This window comes from Homo sapiens, chromosome 13 (assembly GCF_000001405.40).
Source record: "Homo sapiens chromosome 13, GRCh38.p14 Primary Assembly".
NCBI lineage: Eukaryota > Metazoa > Chordata > Mammalia > Primates > Hominidae > Homo > Homo sapiens.
Window position 1 is genome coordinate 88,626,293 of NC_000013.11, and position 8,558 is coordinate 88,634,850.

Genomic DNA, 8,558 nt, shown 5'->3' on the forward strand with positions numbered 1-8,558 from the left:
TGAAGATATTGAGTTGTGAGATCATGTTGGATTGTCTGGGTGTGCCCAATGTAATCATGGGGATCCTTAAAAGGACACAAATATCAGAGATTAGAAGGAAGGCAATGTGATGACAATGGCAGAGACTGGAATGGTAGGAACACAAGCCAAAAAATGATGATGCTATGAGTCGTTCAAAGATAGGAACAGATTCTCCCTGGAGCTTTCAGAAGGGACTAGCTTATGGACACCTTGATTTTATTCCCACAAGACTAATTTTGGACTTCTGGCTTCCAGATCTGTAAAATAATATATTTGTGTTGTTTTAAGCAACTGTTTTATGGTAATGTGTTTCAGCAATAATACAAATCTAGTATAGGGAAAAAAATGAGTTTGGTCATTACATTTGATTATATGGACAAGATAAACACATAGCATTATAAGAGAACTACAGATGTTTAGTCAATGATGAAACTTCTTAATTAATTAATTTTTGAGGGGTTCTTAAAGTATTTCTTTAACATTGATTAATTAAATTTATAATAACTACACAGTGTGTGTATTGACTATAATATTTAATCTAACACAACTCTTTACAAACAATGATGACAACTTTTTTATATTTTAATTGTGTCTGCATCTATCAGAGCTCTGAATCCAACTTAAGTCTCCTTTTCTTGACTCATTATTACACAATTTATTGTTTTGTTCTAAAGAGTTGCAGATAACACTTTGTTTGGACCATAAGATACTAATATATAAAAGGAGGAACATTTATACATAGCTGTTCAAATTGCATGTCTAGATTTGATATCCTGAGAAAAATGTACAACTTTAATTAAAAATGTGTGAAATTTCACATTCAAAGAAATCATTAAGAGACGTGATAGCTAAGTGCAATACTCCATCATAGGCTGGATACTTTCAGAGTGACTAACTGTTATGTTTTATCTTGGACTGATAGGTTTCCAGGGACACGGGACTTTCAGTGCTAAAACATGGACAGTCAATCAGACTGCTCATACTGGTTCTGGAACACACACACACACACACGCACACACACACACTCACAGGAGAAAGAGGAAGGGAGAGAGAAAATGAATAAATTATAAAGCAAACAGGGCAAGTTATGACAAGTGAATTGGTAAAGTGTATAAGGCTCTTCCTTGAACTATTTTATTTGTGCAGCTTTTTGGGAGTTTGAAATTAATTTCAAATTTTAAAAAAATGTTAGGAGGTAAACAAAACAAAAACTCTATTTAGATAACAAATTTTTGAACTAAGTACAAAGTTCTATTTGGTCTGGCACCTAGAGTTTCTACCCAGACTTGCTCATGTCCTTTCTTTTTGCCATCACTCCACACTTTGTCTCAGTCCTTTCCACATAACACATTCTTCAGCCTTCATTCCGTTCCAGAGACAGTCTATGCACTCTCATCCTAGTGAGAATTGCACATATTGACCAGGCTGATTGAAATACCCTTTCTAATCCCTTTACTCTGTCTCCCATTATCTAGTTAATTTTGATTCAATATTTAGATCACAGTTAACTTTTTTGCTTCCTTTAGAGCCTGTGAGAGACAATACTCCCAGATTAAATAGAATCTTCTTGTTACCATCTCTTTATGTGTCATATAACACTTATAACATTGTTAGCATTTATTTTTTGTGATTACTTGATGGATGTCTGCCTCCTCCACTAGACCCTATGATTTTAAGTGTCAGAAATATGCCAGTATCCATTCACCATTTTATCCTCTCTGTCCAGAACAGCACCAGACACATGGAAAGGACTCCACAAATACTTGTTAAATGAATGAATTCTGATTCACCTGGCTCGAAATTTCTTAAGGAATAATCATATCATGCTTTTGCTCAGGTAAGACAGACTGAGGATTGTATATATCGATGATTAGTTTGCTTTTCCTCCAATTCAAAAATACAAATGTGAGAATGTAAATATGTTCATATAACAGTTCATTATCATCTGATGTTCCTAATATTTTAGATAAATAATTTTTATTGTGAATAGATACCACATGCAAAGCACAAGAGTGTTGAGATGTAATAAATAAACTGGTGAACAAAAGTGCTTTGAACTATGTATTTGGTTTTAATTTTTACAAAATGATTTAAATAATGTAGTCATATCTGTCAGTAGCTCTCTTGTCCTCTTTATGTGTATATGAAACATTTTAGCCACAGATGAAAACTCAAGCAGAGCAATGATCACTTTTTTCAACTATTTCTCTCTTGACATGCGCTTTGCCTACCAACACTGTCCTACTGTATTGTATATTGTACAATACTGTAATGTATTGTAACTCACATACTTTCTGCTTTTTATTTGCTTGCTTTCCTCTGTACCTTTGACGATGTTTTTCCTTCTGTTTGGAATGGCTTTATTTTTACTCTGTCTTTCTAATATCTATTAATTCTTTAATACTTATTTCAATAATTATTTGTATCTTAATTCCTTTCCTTATCTCCTCTCTGAACATCCCTCCAAGCATGCATACCCACCAGTCCGGGTTAGGTGCCTAGTTCTGTGTTCTCATAAACTTTGTATGAGTCTTTTTAATTGAAATTGTTGTGGTATATGCACATTTTCTGTGAGTGACTTTCTCACCTACTGAACGCAAAGAGCCTTGAGGGTGAATACTGCTTTATTCACAATTGTAAATCCAGCTCAGGTCCAGTCCCTGCTGTTCAGTGGGCACTCACTATAAATTTGATAAACTTAACTAATCAGATCACACAGAGGCATGAGCCTGAAAATCAACAAACACATGTCTCTTAGTGGCCTCAATAAAAATAAATGTGGCATAGATTGTGAGCCAAAAGCCAAGCACTGTCTTCATAGAAGAGTCCCTCAGGTCTTACAAACTCTTATTTTAGACACTATTTAAAAAAGTGCTTGCTTATCTGATTTCCCAGCACACAGAAAATTAAAAGCAGCAATTTGGAGGCAGTAAGAGGGTGATGTTAGAGGCAGGCATTGTAACAAAAAAAAACTTTTAGCTGCTGACTCGAGGTTATGCAAAGGTGATACCAAATGTACCAATGAAGCACTTTTTTTTTCAAAACTAAATCATGAAAATCAACCTCTAATGTGTTCTTTGACTAGGAATAAATTAAACTGCAAATAAATTATTTTAAAAAGACAACTATAAAATCTCAATGTTTGAACATTACCCATGTACTTCTAAATAACCTGTCTTTTAAGAGGAAATACACAAAGCTGTACAAAACATTTTGAAATAAATAATAATGAAAATATGACACATGAGAGATATTACTATGGATGTAGGTATATCAGAGCATAAAGAGAAATGTGTAGCCTTAAGTGCATATTTTGAAAATAGAAGAAAGCTAGAAAAAAAGAAATAAAAGTAAAATAAACTAGGAGGGAATAATAATGAAAAGATCAGAGATCAATAAAATGGTAAGGTACTTAATAACCGAGAACATGAAGAGAGCTGAATTTGTTTTCTTGAAGCAATCACTAAAATCAACTTATCTTTACTGATTAAGCTAGTGGTTTTGCATGGGCTGCAGATCTCTGGATTCCATATATTCAATAAAACTGTTTCCAAAATAATAACTTTTTCTTATTCATTCGCTATTTATTTGGTACTTTCTCTGCATCCATGTGTTTTTTGAAGGGTTCTTACTTCAATGGACTTATATTATTAAGGCAGCAAAAGAAAATAATTTAAAAAAGCAAAAACAAATATGTCGCCACCAAACAAATGAAAAACAATAAATAAGAAAACATATCAGCTAACTATGTGTTTTTTGTTTGTTCGTTTGTTTGTTTTGAAGGGAGTGTGGCCACAATATCTGGAAATACTGCTAAAGAAGTAAGAACACAAGTGAAGATTGAACTTGAAGATTAGGGATACCCTTTTTGTAAACAGTAGATGAAAAAGGAATGTATAGTCAGGGAATGGAGACACCATTGAAATAGAAGAGATTTCAACATGCTTCAATATAAAAAGAAGAGTTTTCTAGAAAGGTGTGGCTCTAGATCAGAAATATGAGGTCAAGGGAAATTTATTTCTCATCTCACATGGAGAATACTAAGAAGTGTTATAGGAAAGAGAAAATAAACATATGATGCAACGGAGAGAGATAGTAAGTCCTTGAGAAGACACAAAGAAAGGAGGAAGGGAACAGGACTGACGTTTTATGCTGTGTGGTTTAAATGTTCGGATATTCGTATTCATATTTTTTACTTCCATGTTATTTGTCCTCTAGAAAACTGAATTTGAAGACTTCTGGTAATGTCTGGATATGAAGTTTATTTAGACACTGGTTAAGCAGGTTACATATGGGTCAGAATATTGGAGAATACATATTTTGATTCTAAAGAAAGTATTTAGATTTTAGGTATTTAGACCGTAAGTATTTAGACTTCCAAGGTTTGACATGGGGTAACAAGAAATTTTCTCATTACCTATGTAAAATACCAAATGTTGAGACAAATATCCCAAACAGAATACAAACAACTTTCAGAAAAAAAATTAAAATTTGCAGCTGGGAGCCTTCTCCTCTAGCTTATTTTTCTACGTCTCCCTCTACACCAGCCCCATTCTACAACTTTGCCATGCAGTAATGAATATTACTAGTTAGTGTTGGGAGTGAGTAAACTGGGAAGGTATTTCAACTAAATTTGACCACATAAGCTACTTGTGCAAACTTTTCTCTGTGAGTTAAAGGTGAGTGGGGCATTAACTTATTTCATTACATTGGGATGTGTCCTCTGACCAATACAATCCTCTCAGACAATTTAATAACACAGGTTACCCTAGATCAAGATATATAGTGTTGGAGGCAGGGATCTTAGTTGTCTTAGAACATAATTTCACATTACTGAAAGAGTAGATTCCAAATAAACCAACATCATGTCAAAGGTCTCCTGCAGTAAAGACCTGCATGTTCTGCCACTGTGTCTTTTGTTCTAACACATTGCCGTGCCTTAATGTTTCCAGGCATAAATATCTGGAAATATTAAGATCCTCAACTTTTAAATATGCAGCTTTCTAAGAGTAAAACATATCTATTTTAAAATATATTTGCCATGAAAAGGAGATCTGCCATTTTTCACTTCTCTTTCTACAAATTTCTCTCTCTAATTGTACAAACAATGGCTTGTCTCTTATCCATTTTTATTTTTTTAACCAATAGGGTGATAGTTATGTGCTGATTTGCTAATGAGAGTATGGCTTATGCTTGTTTTTCTTGTTTACTTATTAATATTGCCTATGTGTATTCTTTATTTGGATGATAAACTATATAGTCACTCTAACTACGATGCTTTGCCCTGAAGGCAAATAACCCTGAGACACCCTTAGAGAGAAATAAAAGTGCTAAAGTTGGTATTGCAAAAGTGAATGGCATTAATGGCTGGGTAATAAATCCTTTTGTTCAGGTTTCCCATTATTTACTTTCAACACAATGAAGGGAAAACCTAATAGAGTTGTCAGATGACAGATTATTAAAAATAATTTTGAAGATAGATAGCTATGTAATTTGGGGCATATAACTATTAAGAAGTTCAAAGAGCCAAGAAACCTTGCTATAATAAAATAGCTTCCATTACCATCTGTTTTTGTGATCACATTTTCTCGGCACCTACCTAAAAAAAAAAAGAAAAAGAAAAGAGAATATAGGAATAAAATTGATGGTGAATACTGTCTCATTCAAGTAACAAACACAGCAATACCTCATTTTATTGTGCTTCACTTTATTGCGCTTTGCAGATATTGTGTTTTCTACAAATTGAAGGTTGGTGGCAACCCTGAACTGTACAAGTCTATTGACACTATTTTTTTCAATAGAATGTGTTCACTTTCTCTCTCTGATGCACTTTGGTAATTTTCACAATATTTTGAACTTTTTCATTATTATTATATCTATTATGGTAATGTGGGATCAGTGATATTTGGTGTTACTATTATTATTGTTTCCAGGAGACATAAATCTGGCCCATATAAAAGAGCAAACTTAATAGAAAAATATGTGTATTCCAACTGCTCCATCGGCCAGATAGTCACTCATCTCTCTCCTTTTTGTTGGACCTCTCTATTCCCTGAGACACAACAATATTGAAATTAAGCCAATCAATAACTCTGCAATAGTCTGTAAATGTTCAAATGAAAGGTTCTCTCACTTTAGACCAAAAACTAGAAATTATTAAACATTGTGAGAAAGGCATGTCAGAAGCTAAAACTAGGCCTCTTGAACCCAGTTGGCCAAGTTGTGAATGGAAATAAAAGATTCTTGAAGAAAATTAAAAGTCTTATTCTAGTGAACCCATGAATTATAAGAAAGCAAAAAAGTCTTACTGATAGTAAAGGGAAAGTTTTAGTGGCCTGGATAGAAGATCAAACCAGCCACACCATTCCCTTAAGCTAAAGCCTAATCCAAAGCAAGAACCTTAATTCTATCCTCCTCAATTCTATGAAGGCAGAAAGGAGTGAGGAAGCTTCAGAAGAAAAATCTGAAGCTGGCAGAATTGGTTCATGAGGTTTAAGAAAAGAAGCCATTTCCATAACATAACAGTGCAAGGTGAAGCAGCAAGTGCTGATGTAGAGGCTGCAGGAAGTTATTCAGAAAATCTAACTGAGATCATTGATAAAGGTGATGCACTAAACAACACTTTTTTAAAAGTTTAAATATTTCATTATTATACATATATAACAGTTGTATATGTTTATAGGGCACATGTGATGTTTTGGTACGAGCATACAATGTGTGATGATTGAATCAAGGTAACTGAAGTCTCTATCACTTCAATTATTTATCTTTTCCTTGTGTTAGGAACATTCCAATTCCACTCTTCTAGATAATTTAAAATATACAATAAATTTCTGTTAACTATCGCCACTCTGTTGTACTACTGAATACTAGATTTAATTCACTCTATCTAACCGTATTTTGTACTCATTAACCATCCCCACTTTATCCCATCCTTCCTACTATTCTGTCTGATAATCATCATTGTACTTCCAATTTCCATGAGTTTATTTTTTTTACTTCTCACGTATGAGTGCAAATACATGATATTTGTATTTCTGTGCCTGTCTTCTTTCATTTAACATAATGTCCTCCAGTTCCAACCATGTTATTGCAAATGAGATAATTTAATTTTTATGGTTGAATAATATTCCATTGTGTATCTGGACCATATTTTCTTTTTCTATTCTACCATTGATGAACACTTAGGTTGATTTCAAATCTTGGTTATTGTGAACAGTGCTGAAATCAACATGGGACTGAAGATATCTCTACAATAAACTGATTTCTTTCTTTTGGGTATGTACCTCATAGTAGAATTGCTGAATCATGTAGTAGTTCTAATTTTTAGTTCTTTGAGGAGCCTCCATACTGTTCTCCAAGGTGGCTGTACTAATTTATATTCCCACCAACAACCTCTCTCCACAAGAAGAGGACTCCCCATTCTCCACATCCTTGTTAGCACTGGTTATTTTCCATCTTTTGGACAAAAGTCATTTTAACTGGGGTGAGGTGATATCTCATTGTATAATAATTTTGATTTGCATTTCTCTGATTATTAGTGATATTGAGCATTTCTTATATACTTGTTGGTCATTTGTATATCTTATTTTGAGAAATATCTATTCACATCTTTTGCCCATTTTTAATCGGATTATTTTCTATAGAGTTGTTTGAGCTCCTTATATATGCTAGTTATTAATTCCTTGTCAAATGAGTAGTTTGCAAATATTTTCTCCCATTAGGTGGGTGGTGTTTTCACTTTGTTGATTGTTTCCTTTGCTATGCAGAAACTTTTTAGCTAAATGTGGTCCCATTTGTCCATTTTTGCTTTGGTTGCTTGTGCTTTTGAGATCTTACTCAAAAAGTTTTTGCAAAGACCGACGTCCTGGAGTTAGACATCCAGTTTTCAATGTAGAACGAAGCCTTTTAGTGGGAAGAAAAATGTCATCTAGGAGTTTCCTACATAGGGAGAAATCAATGACTGGCTTCAAAACTTCAAAGATCAGGCTGACTCTCTTGTTAGTGGCTAATGCATCTGGTGACTTGAAGTTGAAGTCAAAGCTCATGTATCATTCTGAAAATCCTAGAACCATTAAAAATTATGCTAAATCTACTCTATGTCCTATAAATGAATCAACAAAGCCTGAATGATAGCATATCTGTTTATAGCATGGTTTGCTGAATATTTTAAGCCCACATTGAGACCTACTGCTCAGAGACAAATATTTCTTTCAAAATATTACAACTAACATTGTACCTGGTTGCCCAAAAGCTCTGAAGGAAATGTACAAAAAGATTAATGATGTGTTCATGCCCACTAACAGAACATTCATTCTACAGCCCATGGCTCAAGGAGTAATTTTGATCTTCAAGTGTTATTAGTTAAGAAATACATTTCAAAAGGCTGTAGCTGCCATAAATAGTGATTCCTTGATGGACATGGGTAAAATAAATTGAAAATCGCATGATTGTTAGCATGTTGTATCAATAAAATATTTTCAAATTAAGATACGTACTTTTTTTACATATAATGCTGTTGCACATTTAATAGACTA

General features: G+C 33.6%; 1 long non-coding RNA gene across 1 annotated transcript; it reads left to right on the plus strand.

Moving 5' to 3' along the window:
• Nucleotides 1-560: 560 nt before the first annotated feature.
• Nucleotides 561-4,105, plus strand: LINC00560 (long intergenic non-protein coding RNA 560). Its single transcript, NR_047490.1, has 2 exons — nt 561-1,858; nt 3,805-4,105. It is a non-coding gene; the product is annotated as a long intergenic non-protein coding RNA 560 (long non-coding RNA).
• Nucleotides 4,106-8,558: the final 4,453 nt, after the last annotated feature.